Source organism: Homo sapiens, chromosome 6 (assembly GCF_000001405.40).
Source record: "Homo sapiens chromosome 6, GRCh38.p14 Primary Assembly".
In the NCBI taxonomy this organism is placed as follows: Eukaryota; Metazoa; Chordata; class Mammalia; order Primates; family Hominidae; genus Homo; species Homo sapiens.
This window is the reverse complement of record NC_000006.12, coordinates 4,832,741-4,854,661: the sequence shown is the minus strand read 5'-3', so window position 1 is coordinate 4,854,661 and position 21,921 is coordinate 4,832,741. Positions and strand designations below refer to the sequence as shown.

The following is a 21,921-nucleotide window of genomic DNA, read 5'->3' as shown; positions in this document are numbered from 1 at the left end:
CCCCCAAGCCTTGGAACCTTGTTTCTCCTCTTGTAGTGTCATGAGGTTATTTTATTCCAGGTGGTGTAGCATTTTGCCATTTGAAAACACCTGCCATAGTAGAAGACTTGGCGTCTTTATCCTCTCTCTAGACACCACTGAAAGAAACACACACAGAGCTCCCAGGTGACCAAGCGCCTCCACCACTTCACCAACCAAAATGACTCACTGGGAGCCTGTGGGGTGTACACAGTCCTTTGTGCTGGGGAGAAACCTCAAGTGCAAACTTGGTGATCTGATGGGGTAAATACATGACTAGTATGAAACTGCGTAACATAAACAGGGTGATGTGAACTGCGGATGCTGAGTTTTGAGGAAACATCTTAAAGAGGATCTGAGCCATGCCTGCAAGACGGCATCACTCAGATTACATAAGAATCTAAGCGACAATTCCAGTGAGGAGAGCCAGACACTGGTGTGCTCGCACAGGTCTCGAGGGTTAACAATACCTTATCTGCTGACTGAAAGAACTAGCAGCCTACGAAGATGAGTCAGGCCCAGCTTTGTCACTGCCCTGCTGGAGGAGGCCGTGTGTGCACAGTGAACTACACCCCCAGGGACACGTGTGCAAAGTACACACACTTCAAGGGGACTCACCACGAGCAGGAGCTCACCTCTGCACAGAGAATCAGGACAACACCTTCACAGAAGCCCATCTGTGCTGAATTTCGGGAAAACAAAATTTTACAAAGTGGGAGGAGGATCCCAAGAAGCAAGAAACAAGGTGTGCGAAGGCACGGGAGCACACGAGGCCAGCTAAGAGGTGCCTGCCATGCTGTTCTGCACACGCAGGTGTGCTGTGGCATGGCAGGAGAAGCTGGGGCAGGTGTGGGGACAGGTGTGAGGAGCCAGTGTGCCACACAAACGGTGATGGGCTCTATCCTGTACGCAAAGGTGACAGCTGCCTGGTGTTTTGTTTTGTTTCCTTTTTAAAAGATATTCCTGACAGGAATGTGGATATTGGGAGAAGAAAGGCAGGAGACAGGGACTCGATGCAGTAATCTAAAAGAAAAACCAGCACCTGAAGCAAGACAGCAGTGAAGCTGAGAAGAGACTCAAGAGATACTTTAAGAGCTATCCTTGGTACTAAAAATGGGAGAGGAAGGGAGGAGGAGGGGAATGAGAAGGAGAAGGAGGAAGAGAAGGAAGAGGTCTGCCAAAACTGGCAGTGATTAGGAACAACGGTTTGGAGGTTCCGCAGTTGGAAGTCCTGGATTCAGATGCAGGCTCTGCCATCTAGCAGCTTAGCTTTGGATAAGTTATGTTACCTTCTTCAGCTCTCTGAACTTTGATGTCCTCTATTTTACCGGGAAAAATAAAAATATCTACCCTCGCGGTTGTTATGAGAACTGAATGTGGTAATTCTTTTAAAGTACAAACCAGTACCTGACAAATGTACATGCTCAGTAATGGCTACGGAATTACTGTCATCAACTGCATGAGGAAGTATAAGGTGAGCCTTGGCTACCTTACTGTGTCAAAAAGCAGGAAAAGACTAATGAGGGAGTATGGGCAGATGTCAAAAGAACAAAGGAGCTAGGCACCGTGACTCATGCCTATAATCCCAGCACTTTGGGAGGCCCAAGAGGAGGACCACTTGAGGCCAGGAGTTCAAGACCAGCCTGGGCAACAAAGCAAGACTTCTTCTCTACAAAGAATTAAAATATTAGCTGGGCATGGTAGCTGGTCCCGGCTACTCAAATGACTGAGGCAGGAGGATTACCTGCACCCAGGAGCTCGAGGCTGCAGTGAGCTGTGATTAAGCCACTGCACTCCAGCCTGGGTGACAGAGACAGACCTTGTCTCAAAAAAAAAAGAACAAAGAAACCCATGAGAAAGGGTTCCCACTGGCTAAAAATTGTACAACTCAAACAAAAATAATGTATTTGAATCATCAAATAAAAATCACAAACCCACAATGATACACACACAAAAATGTTAAATCTTTGCTTATAATCAATGATTTTACACCAAATGTAAACTTGATTTAAATCTAAACAGGAAGGAAGGAAGGAAGGAGGAAGGAAGGAGGAAGGAAGATTGGAAGGAAGGAAGGAAGATTGGAAGGAAGGAAGGAAGGAAGGAAGATTGGAAGGAAGGAAGGAAGATTGGAAGGAAGGAAGGAAGATTGGAAGGAAGGAAGGAAGGAAGATTGGAAGGAAGGAAGGAAGATTGGAAGGAAGGAAGGAAGGAGGAAGGAAGGAAGATTGGAAGGAAGGAAGGAGGAAGGAAGGAAGATAGGAAGGAAGGAGGAAGGAAGGAAGGAAGATTGGAAGGAAGGAAGGAGGGAAGGAAGGAAGGAAGGAAGACTGGCCCTGCCTTTTTAGGAGGAATCATCATTTGCCCCAGTTGGTGACAGCTCTTCCTTGCAAAATAGTTCCACCTGGTAACCACAGAAGGAACGACAGGACTAGAAAATCTTCCAATTGTAACACCCACTGAAGATTCAGCAAGGATCATCAGTAGATGCTAAATCCACATGTTGAAACATTAACGGGAAATGGGATTTCTGCCTGGTGCCTAGATGTCACCCAACAGGTTATCTGCTAAGAGCAAAGGGGAAGCCATCGCTTTACAGAAGAGCAAGGGAAAGAGAAATAAATTACACACACCACCAAGAAGCAACTGGCCTGGTTACTTCAAAAAGTCACTATAGAAATAAATAAAAGTAGGGGACTGACATAGAAAAGGGTGTAAAATGCCACACTGTTTTTGGTTAGTATCATTATCACCCCCACTTATTTGAACCTCAACTGGGGGCTGGTAGATTCAGCACTCCTCAGTCCTGGACCATTCCCCAAATTTGACTGTTCAGTTTCTCAGGTTTAAACATGAAGAATGACAGCCATGTGCATCTTCTAACATGAGGCTGACAAAGCCTGAATGACTACGTGCACAGCCACGATCAGGGATTGTTGCGTTAAGACTTTTTACCAAGGTGCTGGTGGATGCAATGCGTCTGCGAATGCAGTGAAGAATTAAACGGTGGTTCCTTTCCAGCCAGGTCCTCGTGCCCACCTGAAAATCCCCTCACAAACGGCCGAGCAAATCGTCTGTTTCTACTCATGAAAGATCTTTAAACAGAGAGAGCCCCCAGACTCCAGCTTCCTACACCCACAAGAGAGGAGCTGTCCCAGATGTCGCCTGCCACAATGAAGACCTCAAAAGCTCACCCCTAACCACCTATAGGGAAAGTTAAACATTTGCCAGCCCAGAAGCTCTCCAACATGGTGAAGCACTCATGATTCTTTTCTGACAATCCTTCAGCTTTGTATGATAGATAATAATAATAAAGTACCTAGTATATCTACATGCCAGGCACTAGGTTAAGTCTTTACCATCAATTAACTCATTTGATTCTCACCACCCTGCTGTTACGTCCATTTTACAGATGGGAAAACCAAAGGTAACTTTGGCCCAGGTTACAGAACTAGCACAGAGCTCAAAGTTGGAAGACCCAGATTACTACTTTCTACTAAATAAGACGTCCATGTCCTCTGGCTCTGAAAGGGAACGTGTAGGCCAATCTGTAATAACTATGCCCACCCAAGTGAGCGCCCAAATCTTTAGGGCAGTATGATTAAATCACAAATACTAGTCAGTCGAGAGCCACAGACCCTAGTGCTCAGTTTTAATTAGTCATTGCCATGTGCCTCGGTGCCATTATATTTCCCCTGGTAATCAAAAACTTTTAAAAAATGAGCAGTACTCCTGGATTTTCTGCTTGTTAGTTAAGAATTCTGTACTGGCTAATGCAAATTATACATTTTTTCAAATAATTTTTTAACACTTGAAAATTTTTGTTAAATATCCAAATTATATGGATCTCTCCATTCTACTGGCCCAAATGAAGAAAGATTCACCTTATTCATCAGTCAGCATTTCATCAACTTAGACAAATTCTAGTGCGTGGCTTTCACGATCTAACTATATGCTTTCAATTATCAAATGGCATATTTCATTTCTACTTCTTGATCCACACTGTTATCACAAAATGTATTATATCCAAAGTTCTCCTGAACCATTATAAATTTTAGGGCTATACAGTAGCATTCTTACAAGGAAAAGAACTCTATGAATACTTTTAAAATTAAGAAACTTATAGAATAAACAAAATTACTAGTTTAAATAGCCCCAAGAGTAAGTAATAGGAAAATAAAACCACTGTGAGTTCCCTACCACAAGCTCTATTAAAATTATAAACTTTTTCGCTAAAACATCGACTTTTCTAGTTAATTGACAAAAGTCACCAAACTGAACATTTAAAGATAAAATACACAGCAACGGTGAAAGGTATAAGACACTACATCTCTTCAGTCATAGCTCAACCAGAATGAGAACAGAGTTTTGTGTATCTAAAATCTAGCTATATCCCTCGTGCCTAGCAGACACTCAACAAGTATTTGCTGAATTAATCAGAGAATGAATTGTGATACTGGCAATTAGCGTGAAGCATTACTATGAAGATTCAGTAAGCAAATACAGTTATCCTATGTGCAATTATAAGGCCCTTGTTACTACTAATAATATTCCTCTTACCCACAAAACTCTATGAAGTATGTTGAACATGTATTATATTTTTGCCAATCCAGTCATGAGAAAACAGGTTCCAGAGTTAAATGAAGTCACCCAGCTAGTCCACTCTAGTTAGTGGTAGGGCTGGAACTGCCCCCCTCCCTCCCCACCCTTTCCCCCCAATTCTATCCCCTTCCCTGCCTCCTGTTTTCTCCTGAGCACGTCACACCATCTCACCATCAAACACACTGTGTTTTCTTTCTGTGTTTGTGGTCTACATGTGAGCTTCATGAAGGCAGTTCATTAGTACTGTTTCCTGCTATGTCCCTTGAACTTTTAAGTGCCTGGCACTTAACAGGTGCAAAAGAAGTAAGAATTTTCTGACATGCTTAAATTTGGAAGGAAGAGACTTTTTTTTTTTTTTTCCTGGCATGACCAGTTTGGGGGATACTTCATCTTAAAAATAAAAAGTAAACTGAATGGACAATATTCTTTGAACAGTAAAGTTTTTGTGCAAAAGCAGTGGAGAAAGAAAGTAAGAGCACTTATTTTAACACTTTCCCCCAAATAACTTAGCAACATAACATACAAAAGACTTAAGATTGTTAATCTTTAAAAAGAACACACCACACGAATTATCGTGCTGCTCAGTAGTGACCTTAGTGTCTGCAGTCTCCTGTTTATAATTCTGTTAACCTCAAAAAGCACTTGCATTTGTCAGATAATCATTAAGGTATGTTTTCATAAAGACTCATTTTGCCAAAAGTCAGTACTATCTGTTTTCATGATCGGCTTTCCATTCCACATTTTTAACAGGCTCCAACACCATTATGAAGCCCCCTTCAAGATGTTTTTCCTCATCCCAGTTTGCCTAAAATGTTGCTTTATACATGTTGGTTTTAAGAAACACTCATTCCTGCCTTTAGGAATTTAAAGGAGAAACGATGGACTAAGGCAAAGAAGTTTCATCTAGATGTTCCTAAATAATCAGAATACTCTTAAGACAGACCACTCTTCTAAGCTAAATATGATTAAACCTAAAATTTGATCAAGAAAAAAGTATCAGCTCTACAAGAACAGGTGAATGACAACTAGGGCCTAATATATTACATTACTTATCTTTTTAATCTTTGCTGTTATGCAAAGAATGTTTAGAAAAATGACTCAAGTATTATTAACAAAGTAAACAAGATAAGCTTCAAATATCCTATAAATACAATGACCTTCTGCCCTTGTCTCTATCACCTTCACTAAGAAGGGCCAAACTGGCCAGCAGGTGTCCCACCAGGCTTCACAGAGAAGCCTCCAGGCAACCAAACGCAACTGCGTCTTCTATACAATTAAGGCCCACGACCCTCAATCCTTAGCATGTCCTAAAAACCAAATAAAGACTCAGACGCAAGCCATTGGGCAGCTATAAATAGCCACACAACTAAAAATACACTGTGCTAATACTCCCTAGGAAGAATTCCTCTCCTGACCAAAATATTTGCCTTTTCATTGAATTTAACTTTCGGATCAGCTGTGATGCAGTGCAGACTCTCTCCTGTGTCGAAGACCTTCATTGTTGTTTTTCTACAGCTGTGCACTGTTCTCATGTGCCTGGTCATTGATGCATTTGTCAAAAGAACATTTTCAACACTATAATAGGAGGCATACATCGGGCTTAAGGTACCAGCAATTGTTTCCAAATTGATTATCTAGGAAAGGACATAATAGGTAATTCTGACAACTTTTTAAAAGTCTTTACGAAACTCTCCAATTTCTATAAAAGTTTGCCACTGGAAAAAAAGCACCAAGAATCAATCTGCCATACTGGAGTTATGTTACCATGAGTTCACTCATTCAGCAAATATTGTCAGACACTACTAATTATCAGACACTGTTCGAGAGCTTGCCTATACAATAAAGCACCCCCCTCCCAAAAATACCCTGCCTTACATTGCTCACATTTTTCTTGAAGAGCCTACCTAATTTCATAGAATCATATGTAACTATGGTTAAATTTTATTAAATTTCAATATCTATAAGCAAAAGCATAAGCCAGTAATATTTTCCCATTTCAACACTGGTCACTAACCAGTTGCCAGCAGTTCTTAATTTCAATTATGGGACATGTGAAAGCAAGGGCAAAAACCCTCAGGAAAGCTTTCGCACATCTTTTTTCTAACCAACCTTATGGCAATCCCAACCTACAGAATCAACTACAGAACTCCTGACAATTGTTCCTGACTGTATATTCCCAAAGTGCAGGAGGCTTCCAGCACCTTTCAGCTTTCGTTTGTTGAGCCCTACCTTGGCTGTAGGGAGACACAGTTTTTATTTTAATTCAAAAGACAGCAGAAGTTGTAAATGTTTAGGAGGCATTTTTGCCCGTTCTAAAGCTCAATTTTTAAAGTATGAAATTTGAAATTACCACACTGATTGATCCTGGAGAAAACTGAAGTTTTAAAGGCAGAACTTGATACATACAATGAAGTGACTACACAAATCCTACTTTAATTCACTGAACCTTCAGTTCATGACAAGAGAAACAATGGAAAGACTGTTAACTTGAATCTTATACCATCACTCAACAGTAACTACAAGTTTCAGGCATCAGGTTAAGAATACAGATGATCTGAGACCTAGACCCTGCTATCACACAAGATGCTCAGCTAGAGAAAAATGGAATCAAAGAGCAATAAATTTAATTTCAACAGAAAGATGTACAACAGCAGCTCCTTAGCTGCTGAAAGAATGTGGGGAAAAAGACAGACAGGTCCACTAAACAGGACACTGGGGACCTACAACAGCTGGGTGGACCATGAGACAGGGACGGATGGGGGCGGCAAGTGACAAAGTAATGAGATGCACAGAGACTCAACTTTGATGCACCAGGGCTTTCCCAAGACTTACTGAATACCAATCTCTAGGAGGGAACCAGAAATTTGCAACTACCCTCACACACTGATGATTTTGGTGCACGCAATAGTTAGAGGGCCACTGGTGGCATTCCTGGGTGGTCCATGCTGGGTTTTAAGCAGCAGATAGACATGACTGTAACTGGGTCTCATTAGTTCACACAGCAGGGCTGTGTAAACGTAGTGTGCAGAATAAGAATGGGGGGATCACAGATCTAAGTGGATCTGAGACTACTGCAGAAACCTAATAGGGGGCTACTTTGCTGACCAAAATGGGAAAAGGAAAGAGTAGAACTATCCAAATTACAGAAAAGTTTAATTTTATGGATTTAAATAGGACAACCATATGTCTTGGTTTGCCTAAAACAGTCTTGGCTTACAACTGCTGTCTCAATGTCCAATCTGGTTTTGTCTTTGTATTTTTCATTTTTAATTAAATATTATGATTCACTATTGCATTAAAATAAGCCAGTTTGAGTTTAATAAATAACCTATTTTTTCTATGTCTTGCTTCTGTCACCATCTCATCTAGTAGCATGCAAGACACACATACAGCGAACAGAGTTCACACTTCAATGTGTTGTTAACTCTGAAAGTCAACCAGGAATAAATCACCTATTTTCTGGGCCCTTTCCAGGTCCAAGATAACTAACAGCTCCCTCTCCAGCACTCTGACGGAAGAAAGCATGCTGGCATCACATGGGAAGCAATTACATAGAATATTAGTCTGACAGCTTGTATTATAATGATTTTGTCATGTATAGTGTAAATCCACAACTATTTTATTGTTTTGATTGTTTGTATTTTACAAGCCATTCTAGGAGCAATGAACTAAAAAATAAAAATGCAGATTTAATAAGTACTACATTTCCGTTTCTCAAGAAAGTTAATAGTAAATAGTAATTTGCACATGTCTCCACATTTGCCGTGCACCCTGTGGGGTTGGGGTGCTATCAGTGGGCACATGAAAACCAGACAACATCTGAAAAAATAGCCATATCCACCTTTTTTTTTTTTTTTTAAGAAGGCAGTACCCAAAGACAACTAATTCTTAGGTGCAATCGCAGAATTTGCATTTATAAAATTGTAGTATTCACATTTCTTTCTAAAGTATGACTGTTCATTTAGATCAAATGACTGTTCTAACATAATTAAGCCAATTTTTCCCCTAAATGTTCTCCTGAACATTAAACACATACATAATAGCAGTTAAATATTGGCTCCTTTAGCTTGGAAGAACTTTACAGGCAATTAGATTGTGCCAGTTTTCAAATAGGAGATCAGTTCCGTTAGTAGTTCTATTTTTTTCATTCAACTCGTGGAACAAGGGTCAACAAATTGGTCTGCGGGCCAAATCCACCCTGCCACCTGTTTCGGCATGGCCTGCAAAGTAAGAATGGTTTTTACGTTTTCAGCGGTTGGAAAAAGATCAAAAGTTGATGCTTTGTGATATATGAAAAGTATACAAAATTCATATTTCAGTCTCCATAAATAAAGTTGTATTGGTATATAGCCACACTCATTTGTTTGCATACTGTCTATAGCTACTTTAAGGCTACCAAGGCAGAAGTTGAGTTGCAATAGATAGCTGTGGCCAAGAAAGCGTAAAATATTTATTGTCTGACCCCTTACAGAAAAGGTTTGCTGAATCCTGCCTTAAAAGGTTAAACACTACTGTTAATAATATCGTAAAAGCTCAATGAGGAACACTATTTGTTATTCTGATTTTAATACAAATACAGGTTTTCATATACACAATAACGAAGAACAAATTAAACTAAAGTTAAGAATACTTCATCATGGCAGTACCCATTCTCTTTGGCACTCAACTCATTTAGCCTTCAAAAAACTACTTTGAAAACCAATCCAGGCATCGCAAAATGACTTGGAACCTTTTGTTTTGTTTTGTTTTGGTGAGACCTCTAAGATTGGGTTACCTTTTGTTCAAAATCAGCTGGAAATTTTGATCAAAACTTTCAACAAACAACTGTCTTTTGAAAAGTCAGCTTTTGAACCTTTTGGCAAACTGCAATTGTTGAAATCAAAGTTTGCAAGTAAGCATGCAGTGAAATTAACCTCTAAAAATATCAAGTGACAGACAAAAATGGAATATATAGAGCAATGTACAATAATTTTGAAATTCAGTAAGTGCACTTTGGAGTATCTCAAATTGTAGAAAGAATAATTTCATGGCCCTTCTATTTTTGATTGGATAAAAACAACATTTTACAGCATCTAAATTTAGCAAAAGATTCAAAAGAATGAAAAAGGCAATTTATTTGACAACTTTTTTGTCTTGCAAAATTATTTGTTGAATATAGGTATTCTAAATAGAGGTTTAGACAGTTCTTATGAAAATATTTGAGCTATAATACTTCACATCTCATTAAAAAAACAACAAAATAGCCTTCCTTTAGCACTAGTTGCTCTGAACTCATAAGCTACCTTACCTCAGCACAAATAAACTTTTTCAATAATAAAATGATGGCTTACAGAAGAATAAAATCCAAATGTCAACAATCTCAAATGTACTAACTGAAAATGCAACTTTTAAGAAGTATGTACTTTTATGAGAATCTCAGAAACAAACCCATGTTGGGGGAAAAATATTCTTCAGAGTCACAAGGAAAATGGCAGACAGAAAGGCAGGACTAATTTGCAGCTCCCACTCGGACGGACAGAGCAGCGTGTGGGGACTCACCTCCTTAACTTTTGCTCCAAGAACTACGGCAGGAACGTACCAGGAAAGCCAAGAGAATCCACAAACCCTCTGAAGGAAGCAGATTGCTGCTGCAGGCCCCAGGGGACAGCTGAAAAACTCCAAAGACAAAGGACATAATCTCCCGGGAGCTCTAGGGCCCCCACACCACCTGATCCTCCCTATACTACCACAGCTGATGCTCTCTTGACAGCGCCACCTACTGGCTGGAGGCCAACCAACACAAAACTAGTAACAATGAACAAAACCAAACCACAATTAAGCACGCTCAGGTGCTGGTATCTACAGTTGAGAGACCTGAAGATGGTTCACATCACAGGACTCTGTGCAGACACTCCCGAGTACCAGCCCAGAGCCCGGTATCTCTGCAGGGTGACTAGATCCGGAAGAGAAAAAACAATCACCACGGTTTGGCTCTCAGAAAGCCACATCCCCAGGGGAAGGGAGAGAGTATCACATCAAGGGAGCACCCCATGGGACAAAAGAATCTGAATAGCAGCCTTTGGGCCCCAGATCTTCCCTCTGACATAGTATACCCAAATGAGAAAGAACCAGAAAAGCAATTCTGGGTCATACAACAAAACAAGGTTCTTTAACAACACCAAAAGATCACACTACCTCAACAGCAATGGATTCAAAACAAGAAGAAATCTCTGAATTGCCACAAAAAGAATTCAGCAGGTCGATTATTAAGCTAATCAAGGAGGCACCAGAGAATGGTAAAGTCCAACTTAATAAAACCATAAAAATGATACAAGATAGGAAGGAGAAAATCTTCAGTGAAATAAATAGCATAAATAAAAAATAATCACGACTTATGGAAATGAAAAACACACTTAGAGAAATGCAAAATACTCTCAGAAGTCTAAGCAACAGAATCAAACAAGTAGAATAAAGAACTTCAGAGCTTAAAGACAAGGCTTTCGAATTAACCCAATCCAACAAAGACAAAAAAAGAATTAAAAAAAAAAAAAAAGAAAAAGCCTCTGAGAAGTTGGGGATTATGTTAAATGGCCAATCCTAAGAATAAATGGTGTTACTGAGGAAGAAGAGAAATCTAAAAGTTTGAAAAACATATTGAGGGAATAATTGAGGAAAACTTCCCCGGCCTTGCTAGACAGAGATCTAGACATCCAAATACGAGAAGCTCAAAGAACACCTGGGAAATTTATTGCAAAAAGATCATCACTTAGGCACGCTGTCATCAGGTTATCTAAAGTTAAGATGAAGGAAAAGAATCTTAAGAGCTGTGAGGCAAAAGCACCAGGTAACCTATAAAGGAAAACCTAACAGATTAACAGCAGATTTCTCAGCAGAAACCCTACAAGCTAGAAGGGACTAGGGGTTGGGGTGGGGAGGGCTATCCTTAGCCTCCTTAAACAAAACAATTATAAGCCAAGAATTTTATATCCAGCAAAACTAAACTTCATAAATGATGAAAAGATACCGTCTTTTTAAGACAAATACTGAGAGAATCTGCCAATACCAAGCCAGCGCTACAATAACTGCTAAAAGGAGATATAAATCTTGAAACAAAAACTGCTAAAAGGAGATATAAATCTTGAAACAAATCCTTGACATACACCAAAATAGAACCTCCTTAAAGCATAAATCTCACAGGAACTATATAGCAATAACATAATGGAAAAAAAAACCCACAAGGGTTTTCATATTCGTTCCCATGTTGTGTATTCATAGCACAATGAATAGAATAATACCTAGCATCTCAATAGTAACTGAAATACCTCCACTGGAAAGAGAACAGAATGGCAGAATGGATAAGAATTCACCTAGTATCTGTTGTGAAGAGGCTCACCTAACACATAAGTACTCACATAAACTTAAGGTAAACGGGTGAAACAGACATTCCGTGCAAGAGGACACAAAAAGCAAGCAGGAGTAGCTATTCTTATATCAGAAAAAACAAATGTTAAAGCAACAGTAGATAAAGAAGACAAAGAGGGGCATTATATAATGATAAAAGGACTAGTCCAACAGAAAAATATCACAATCCTAAATATATACGCACCTAACACCACAGCTCCTAAACATATAAAACAATTACTACTAGACCTAAGAAATGAGATAGCAACACAATAATAATATATAGTGGGGGACTTTAATACTCTGCTGACAGCACTAGACAGGTCATCAAGACAGAAAGTCAACGAAGAAACAATGGACTGTAACTTATAACAAAAGGACTTAACAGATATTTATATTAATATTTATTTTTATTTATATTAATATTAGTATTATTTATATATAATTATATATTATTATTTATATTATTTATATTAATAATTTATTATATAATATAATATATTTATAATATATAAGTAATATAATTTTATATTAACAAGTTTATATATAAATAATATAAATATATGATATAAATAATATATAATTATATATAAATAAATATGAATATTAATATAATATATATAAATTATATATTACAAATAATACAAATATAATTAATTTATTTATATTAATAATTTATTATTAATATTAATATAATATTAATATAAAGTCAACAAAGAAACAATGGACTTAAACTATAACTTATAACAAAAGGATTTAACAGATATTTATAGAACATTTTATCCAACAACTGCAGAATATACATTCTATTAATCAGCACATGGAACATTCTCCAAGATAGCCCATATGATAGGCCACAAAACAAGGTTCAGTAAATTTAAGAAAATCTAAACTATGTCAGGTACTCTTTCAGACCACAGTGGAATAAAATTGGAAATCAACTCCAAAAAGGAACCCTCAAAACCAGGCAAAAACATAAAAATTAAATAACCTGCTCCTGAATGATCACTCAGGCAACAATGAAATCAAGACGGAAATTTTAAAATTCTTTGAACTGAACGATAATAGTGACACAACCTAGCAAAACTTCTGGGATACAGCAAAGGCAATGCTAAGTGGAAAGTTCATATGCTTAAACGCCTAACACTGAAAAGTCTGAAAGAGAACAAATAGACAATCTAAGGTCACATCTCAAGGAATCATAAAAACAAGAACAAACCAAACCCAAACCCAGCAGAAGAAATAACAAAGATCAAAACAGAACTAAATGAAATTCCAACAAAAAATAAATACAAAAGGTAAATGAAACAAAAAGCTGGTTCTTTCAAAAGATAAATAAAATTAGTGAGATTAACCAAGACAAGGAGAAGATCCAAAACTCTCAACTAGAATTCACACAGGAGATACCACAACTGATACCACAGAAATACAAAAGTTTATTCAAGCCAACTACGAACACCTTTATGCACATAAACTAAAAAACCTAGAGGAAATGGACACATTCCTGGAAATATACAACCCGCCTAGACTAAACCAGGAAGAAACAGAAACTCTGAACAGACCAATAACAAACAGTGACACTGAAATGGTAATTTAAAAGTTGCCAACAAAAAAAAGTCCAGGACCTGATGGATTCACAGCTGAATTTTATCAGACATTTAAGGAAAAATTGGTACCAATCCTATTGACACTATTCCACAAGATAAAGAGGGAATCCTTCCTAAATCATTCTATGAAGCCAGTGTCACTCTAATACCAAAACCAGGAAAGGATGTAACAAAAAAACAAAACAAAAAACAAACAAAAACATAACAAAACAAAAAAATCGCTGATGAATATAGATGCAAAAATCCTTAACAAAATACTAGCAAACTGAATCCAACAACACTTCAAAAAGATAACCCACCATGATCAAGTGGGTTTCATATCAGGATGCAGGGATGGTTTAAAATACGCAAGTCAATGTTGTCATCACATAAACACAATTAAAAATATAAAAATCACATGATCATCTCAATAGAGCAGAAAAAGCATTTGACAAAATCCAGCACCCCTTTACGATTAAAACCCTCAGCAAAATCAGCATAGAAGGGACATAACTTTAATAAAAGCCATCTATGACATACCCAAAGCCAACATAACACTGAATGGTGAAAAGTTGAAAGCATTCCCCTGAGAACTGGAACAAGACGAGGATGCCCACTCTCACCATTTCTATTCAACATACTGCAAGTCATAGCCAGAGCAATCAAACAAAAGAAAGAAAGAAAGGCCATCCAAATCAGTAAAGAGGAAGTCAAACCGTCACCGTTTGCTGATGACATGATCATATACCAAGAAACTCCTAAAGATTCTTCCAAAAAGCTCCTAGAACTGATAAATTCAGCAAAGTTCCAGGATACAAAGCTAATGTACACAAATCAGTAGCTCTGCTATACACCAACAACAACCAAGGTGAGACTCAAATCAAGAACTCAACCCCTTTAAAAATAGTTGAAAAAAAAATGCTTAGGAGTGGATCTAAGGAGGTGAAAGACCTCTACAAGAAAAACTACAAAACACTGCTGAAAGAAATCATAGATGACACAATCAAATGGAAACACATCCCATGCCCATGGAGAGGTAGAATCAATATTGTGAAAATGGCCATACTGTCAAAAACAATCTACAAATTCAATGCAATTCCCATCAAAACACCACCATCATTCTTCACAGAACTAGAAAAAAAATCCTAAAATTCATATGGAACCAAAAAACTGCCCACATAACCAAAGCAAGACTAAGCAAAAAGAACAAATCTGGAGGAATCACATTACCCAACTTCAAACTATACTACCAGGCCATAGTCACCAAAACAGCATGGTACTGGTATAAAAATAAGCACATAGACCAATGGAACAGAATAAAGAACCCAAAAATAAAGTCAAATACTTACAGCCAACTGATCTTCAACAAAGCAAACAAAAAGATAAAGTGGGGAAAGGACACCTTATTTAACAAATGGTGCTGGGATAATTGGCAAGCCACATGTAGGAGAATGAAACTGGATCCTCATCTCTCATCTTAAACAAAAATCAACTCAAGATGGATCAAACACTTAAATCTAAGACTGAAACCATAAAAATTCTAGAAGATAACATCAGAAAAACCCTTTGAGACAATGGCTTACACAAAGACTTCATGACCAAGAACCCAAAAGCAAATGCAACAAAAACAAAGATAAATAGATGGGACTTAATTCAACTAAAAAGCTTCTGTAAAGCAAAATAAACAATCAGCAGAGTAAACAGACAACCCACAGAGTGGGAGAAAATCTTTGCAATCTATACATCTGACAAATAACTAACATCCAGAATCTACAAATGACTCAGACAAATCAGCAAGAAAAAAACAATCACATCAAAAAGTGGGACTAAGGACATGAACAGACAATTCTCAAAAGAAGATATACAAATGGCCAACAAACATGAAAAAATGCTCAACATCACTAATGATCAGGGAAATACAAATCAAAACCACAATGCGATACCACCTCACTCCTGCAAGATGGTCATAATCGAAAAATCAAAAAATAATAGAAGTTGGTGTGGATGTGGTAAAAAAAGGAAACACACTGCTGGCAGGAATGTGAACTAGTACAGCTGCTATGGAAAATAGTGTGAGGATTCCTTAAAGAACTAAAAGTAAGGCCGGGAGTGGTGGCTCACGCCTGTAATCCCAAGGCCGAGGCGGGAGGATCATGAGGTCAGGAGTTCAAGACCAGCCTGGCCAACATGGTGAAACCCCGTCTCTACTAAAAATACAAAAATTAGCCAGGTGTGGTAACACTCACCTGTAATCCCAGAAACTCACGAGGCTGAGGCAGGAGAATCGCTTGAACCCGGGAGGTGGAGGCTGCATTGAGCTGAGATGGCACCACTGCACCCCAGCCTGGGTGACAGAGGGAGACTCTGTCTCAAAAAAAAAAAGGAACTAAAACTACCATCTGATCCAGCAATCCCACTACTGGGTATCTTCCCAGAGGAAAAGAAGTCATTATATGAAAAAGACACTTGCACACACGTTTATATTTGCAATTGCAAAAACATGGAACCAGCCAAATACTTATCAGTCAACAAGTATATAAAGAAACTGTGGTGTATATATACCATAGAATACTCTCAACCATAAAAAGAAATGAAATAATGGCATTTGCAGCAACCTGGATGGAACTGGAGATCATTATTCTAAATGAAGTAACTCAGGAATGGAAAACCAAACATCCTAAGTTCTCACTCATAACTGGGAGCTAAGCTATGAAGATGCAAAGGCATAATGATACAATGGACTTTGAGGCTTGGGGGAAAGGGTGGGAGGGGGGTGAGGGATAAAAGACGACACATTGAGTACAGTGTACACTGCTCGGGTGATGGGTGCACCAAAATCTCAGAAATCACCACTAAGGAACTTATTCATGTAACCAAACACCACCTGTTCCCAAAAGACCTATTAAAATAAAAAAATAAAAAGACATACCGAAAAACTTTTAAAGAGTCACAAGGCATTACAATAGATACATGATAAAAATGTATCAAGAATATTTACAGCCTGGTGTGATAGCTCACAAGTGTAATCTCAGCACTTTTGAAGGATGAGGAAAGCGGATTGCTTGAGCCCAGGAGTTCGAGATGAGCCTGGGTAACATGGCAAAACCCCATCTCTATTTAAAAAAAAAAAAAAAATTAGCTGGGTTTGTTGGTGCACGCCTGTAGTCCTAGATACTGGAGAGGATGAGGTATTGGGATCACTTGAGCCTGGGAGGCAGAGGCTGCAGTGAGCCATGTGCATGCCACTGCACTCCAGCCTGGGCGACAGAGCAAGACTCTGTCTTAAACCAACGGGAAAAGAAAAAATAAGAGGCCGGGCGCGGTGGCTCATGTGCCTGTAAGCCCAGCACTTTGGGAGGCTGAGGTGGGTGGATCACGAGGTCAGGAGTTCGAGAGCAGCCTGACCAACATGATGAAACCTCGTCTCTACTAAAAATACAAAAATTAGCCAGGCATGGTAACACTCGCCTGTAATCCCAGAAACTCATGAGGCTGAGGCAGGAGAATCGCTTGAACCCGGGAGGTGGAGGTTGCACTGAGCCAAGATCGTGCCACTGCACTCCAGCCTGGGCGACAGAGCAAGACTCTGTCTCCAAAAAAAAAAAAAAACAACGACAACAAAAAAAAGAGTATTTACTAATTTTTGTAATGTACAGGTGATCCCTTTATTGTAACGCACTGACGTTTACTTCATAATTTTTTGAAAATTTTTTTAATAAAACTACTTTATGTCTATCACTACAACAAATGTATTGGTCAAAAAAAATTCCAAAAGATTGTATAACAATTTTCAGTCCTCCTTTTGCTTTCATGTGCCTCCATTTGAATGATAAATTATATTGTCACTCAAGTTGTAACACTGTGAGGAATGTACACAGAAGCAAATTAGTAAAATAAAACAAATTGCCAATTCATATCCCTGAACATGTAATACCCACTGACTCAGGTCTATGCCTTTAACAATGATTGACCTATCTTATCTGGATCCTCATTTATTCAGCAAGAGAGTGTCTGCTATGTATAAGGCACTGTACGAGGTACTGGGGATATACAGGTGAACACCACTGCTGCCCTCACTCTCATGAGAGAGACTTCCACCCAGCAGAGGTGGGAGCAGACACACATACCTGCACCCACACCCATCACTCCATTCCAGGGCACTCACATAATTCCATTTTGTTCCATCAAACTTCTGTATCCCCAATTCTGTAACCAGGCGCAAGGTCTACAAGTGATAGGACCATCTCCATCAAGGTGCCAGAATCAGAAATGTACTCACTGCCCTTCCTCGCACTCAGTCCCAGCATTTTTTCCTTCAGCCACACTAGAGACCAGCATACCAAGGCCTGAAACAGCCCCTAAATTCAATATAAACAGTTCTTTTCTGCCTCTTTTCCTTTGCACATTTTTCCTTGCTGCATGGTGGTCAGCATAGAAATAAGGCTGTAATTATCTATTGCTAACAGATTTTAAAAATATTCTAATGAGCAATCTTTTAAAGGACTTTAGAAGGACAAAGTACTGACTGCAAAAACAGGAGAGGGGAGAGGCTGGTGAGAGCCATGCTCTCGAATGGACACACAGTGGCAAGTGGTATCACAGGAAGGAAAGCCGAAGTCTCAATTCCCAGAACCCATAAGGGAAAGGAAAAAAATAAAAAGTAAACTGAAGCAAACAGAAAATGTATCACACTGGTTTAAAATCCCAACTCCTCTAGGGGGTTGGAATTCTGAAAGCACACGTATAAAATAAATAATTAAAACTCACTTTTTGGTTCTATGCAACTTTTTTCTTCTTTATGTAGTTTTGGGTAGCATTTGTGGCTGACTTAGAAACCTAAGCCTTGGGGAGGAGCCAAGATGGCCGAATAGGAACAGCTCCGGTCTACAGCTCCCAGCGTGAGCGACGCAGAAGACAGGTGATTTCAGCATTTCCATCTGAGGTACCAGGTTCATCTCACTAGGGAGTGCCAGACAGTGGGCACAGGTCAGTGGGTGCAGCGCACCGTGCGCAAGCCGAAGCAGGGCGAGGCATTGCCTCACTCAGGAAGTGCAAGGGGTCAGGGAGTTCCCTTTCCTAGTCAAAGAAAGGGGTGACAGACGGCACCTGGAAAATTGGGTCACTCCCACCCGAATACTGCGCTTTTCTGACGGGCTTAAAAAATGGCGCACCAGGAGATTATATCCCGCACCTGGCTCGGAGGGTCCTGCGCCCACGGAGTCTCGCTGACTGCTAGCACAGCAGTCTGAGATCAAACTGCAAGGCGGCAACGAGGCTGGGAGAGGGACGCCGGCCAGTGCCCAGGCTTGCTTAGGTAAACAAAGCAGCCTGGAAGCTCCAACTGGGTGGAGCCCACCACAGCTCAAGGAGGATTGCCTGCCTGCCTCTGTAGGCTCCACCTCTGGGGGCAGGGCACAGACAAACAAAAAGACAGCAGTAAGCTCTGCAGACTTAAATGTCCCTGTCTGACAGCTTTGAAGAGAGCAGTGGTTCTCCCAGCACGCAGCTGGAGATCTGAGAACTGGCAGACTGCCTCCTCAAGTGGGTCCCTGACCCCTGACCCCTGAGCAGCCTAACTGGGAGGCACTCCCCAGTAGGGGCGGACTGACATCTCACATGGCCGGGTACTCCTCTGAGACAAAACTTCCAGGGGAACGATCAGACAGCAGCATTCGTGGTTCATGATAAACCACTGTTCTGCAGACACCACTGCTGATACCCAGGCAAACAGGGTCTGGAGTGGACCTCTAGCAAACTCCAACAGACCTGCAGCTGAGGGTCCTGTCTGTTAGAAAGAAAACTAACAAACAGAAAGGACATCCACACCAAAAACCCATCTGTATATCACCATCATCAAAGTCCAAAAGTAGATAAAACCACAAAGATGGGGAAAAAACAGAGCACAAAAACTGGAAACTCTAAAAAGCAGAGCACCTCTCCTCCTCCAAAGGATCGCAGTTCCTCACCAGCAATGGAACAAAGCTGGACGGAGAATGACTTTGACGAGTTGAGAAAAGAAGGCTTCAGACGATCAAACTACGAGCTACAGGAGGAAATTCAAACCAAAGGCAAAGAAGTTAAAAACTTCAAAAAAAATTTAGACGAATGTATAACTAGAATAACCAATACAGAGAAGTGCTTAAAGGGGCTGATGGAGCTGAAAGCCAAGGCTCGAGAACTACGTGAAGAATACAGAAGCCTCAGGAGCCGATGTGATCAACTGGAAGAAAGGGTATCAGCGATGGAAGATGAAATGAATGAAATGAAGCGAGAAAGGAAGTTTAGAGAAAAAAAAATAAAAAGAAATGAACAAAGCCTCCAAGAAATATGGGACTATGTGAAAAGACCAAATCTACGTCTGACTGGTGTACCTGAAAGTGACAGGGAGAATGGAATCAAGTTGGAAAACACTCTGCAGGATATTATCCAGGAGAACTTCCCCAATCTAGCAAGGCAGGCCAACATTCAGATTCAGGAAATACAGAGAACGCCACAAAGATACTCCTCGAGAAGAGCAACTCCAAGACACATAATTGTCAGATTCACCAAAGTTGAAATGAAGGAAAAAATGTTAAGGGCAGCCAGAGAGAAAGGTCGGGTTACCCACAAAGGGAAGCCCATCAGACTAACAGCGGATCTCTCGGCAGAAACTCTACAAGCCAGAAGAGAGTGGGGGCCAATATTCAACATTCTTAAAGAAAAGAATTTTCAACCCAGAATTTCATATCCAGCCAAACTAAGCTTCATAAGTGAAGGAGAAATAAAATACTTTACAGACAAGCAAATGCTGAGAGATTTTGTCACCACCAGGCCTGTCCTAAAAGAGCTCCTGAAAGAAGCACTAAACATGGAAAGGAACAACTGGTACCAGCCGCTGCAAAATCATGCCAAAATGTAAAGACCATCAAGACTAGGAAGAAACTGCATCAACTAATGAGCAAAATAACCAGCTAACATCATAATGACAGGATCAAATTCACACATAACAATATTAACTTTAAATGTAAATGGACTAAATGCTCCAATTAAAAGACACAGACTGGCAAATTGGATAAAGAGTCAAGACCCATCAGTGTGTTGTATTCAGGAAACCCATCTCACATGCAGAGACACACATAGGCTCAAAATAAAAGGATGGAGGAAGATCTACCAAGCAAATGGAAAACAAAAAAAGGCAGGGGTTGCAATCCTAGTCTCGGATAAAACAGACTTTAAACCAACAAAGATCAAAGGAGACAAAGAAGGCCATTACATAATGGTAAAGGGATCAATTCAACAAGAAGAGCTAACTATCCTAAATATATATGCACCCAATACAGGAGCACCCAGATTCATAAAGCAAGTCCTGAGTGATCTAAAAAGAGACTTAGACTCCCACACAATAATAATGGGAGACTTTAATACCCCACTGTCAACATTAGACAGATCAACAAGACAGAAAGTCAACAAGGATACCCAGGAATTGAACTCAGCTCTGCACCAAGCAGACCTAATAGACATCTACAGAACTCTCCACCCCAAATCAACAGAATATACATTTTTTTCAGCACCACACCACACCTATTCCAAAATTGACCACATACTTGGAAGTAAAGCTCTCCTCAGCAAATGTAAAAGAACAGAAATTGTAACAAACTATCTCTCAGACCACAGTGCAATCAAACTAGAACTCAGGATTAAGAAACTCACTCAAAACCACTCAACTACATGGAAACTGAACAACCTGCTCCTGAATGACTACTGGGGACATAACGAAATGAAGGCAGAAATAAAGATGTTCTTTGAAACCAACGAGAACAAAGACACAACATACCAGAATCTCTGGGACGCATTCAAAGCAGTGTGTAGAGGGAAATTTATAGCACTAAATGCCCACAAGAGAAAGCAGGAAAGATCCAAAATTGACACTCTAACATCACAATTAAAAGAACTAGAAAAGCAAGAGCAAACACATTCAAAAGCTAGCAGAAGGCAAGAAATAACTAAAATCAGAGCAGAACTGAAGGAAATAGAGACACAAAAAACCCTTCAAAAAATTAATGAATCCAGGAGCTGGTTTTTTGAAAGGATCAACAAAATTGATAGACTGCTAGCAAGACTAATAAAGAAAAAAAGAAGAATCAAATAGACGCAATAAAAAATGATAAAGGGGATATCACCACTGATCCCACAGAAATACAAACTACCATCAGAGAATACTACAAACACCTCTACGCAAATAAACTAGAAAATCTAGAAGAAATGGATAAATTCCTCAACACATACACTCTCCCAAGACTAAACCAGGAAGAAGTTGAATCTCTGAATAGACCAATAACAGGATCTGAAATTGTGG

At 39.5% G+C, this 21,921-nt stretch overlaps 1 protein-coding gene across 5 annotated transcripts in view; it reads right to left on the bottom strand.

The window, feature by feature from the left end:
- Positions 1 to 21,921, bottom strand: part of CDYL (chromodomain Y like) — a 249,407-nt gene that overhangs the window by 100,883 nt on the left and 126,603 nt on the right. The window contains exon 1 of one of the 5 annotated variants that reach the window (NM_001143970.2): positions 18,354 to 18,564. The exons of the other annotated variants lie outside the window; for them this stretch is intronic. The gene's annotated coding sequence lies outside the window, so the exon portion shown is untranslated. Of the gene's footprint in view, positions 1 to 18,353; positions 18,565 to 21,921 lie in introns of those variants that run through there. 5 annotated transcript variants of the gene reach the window in all.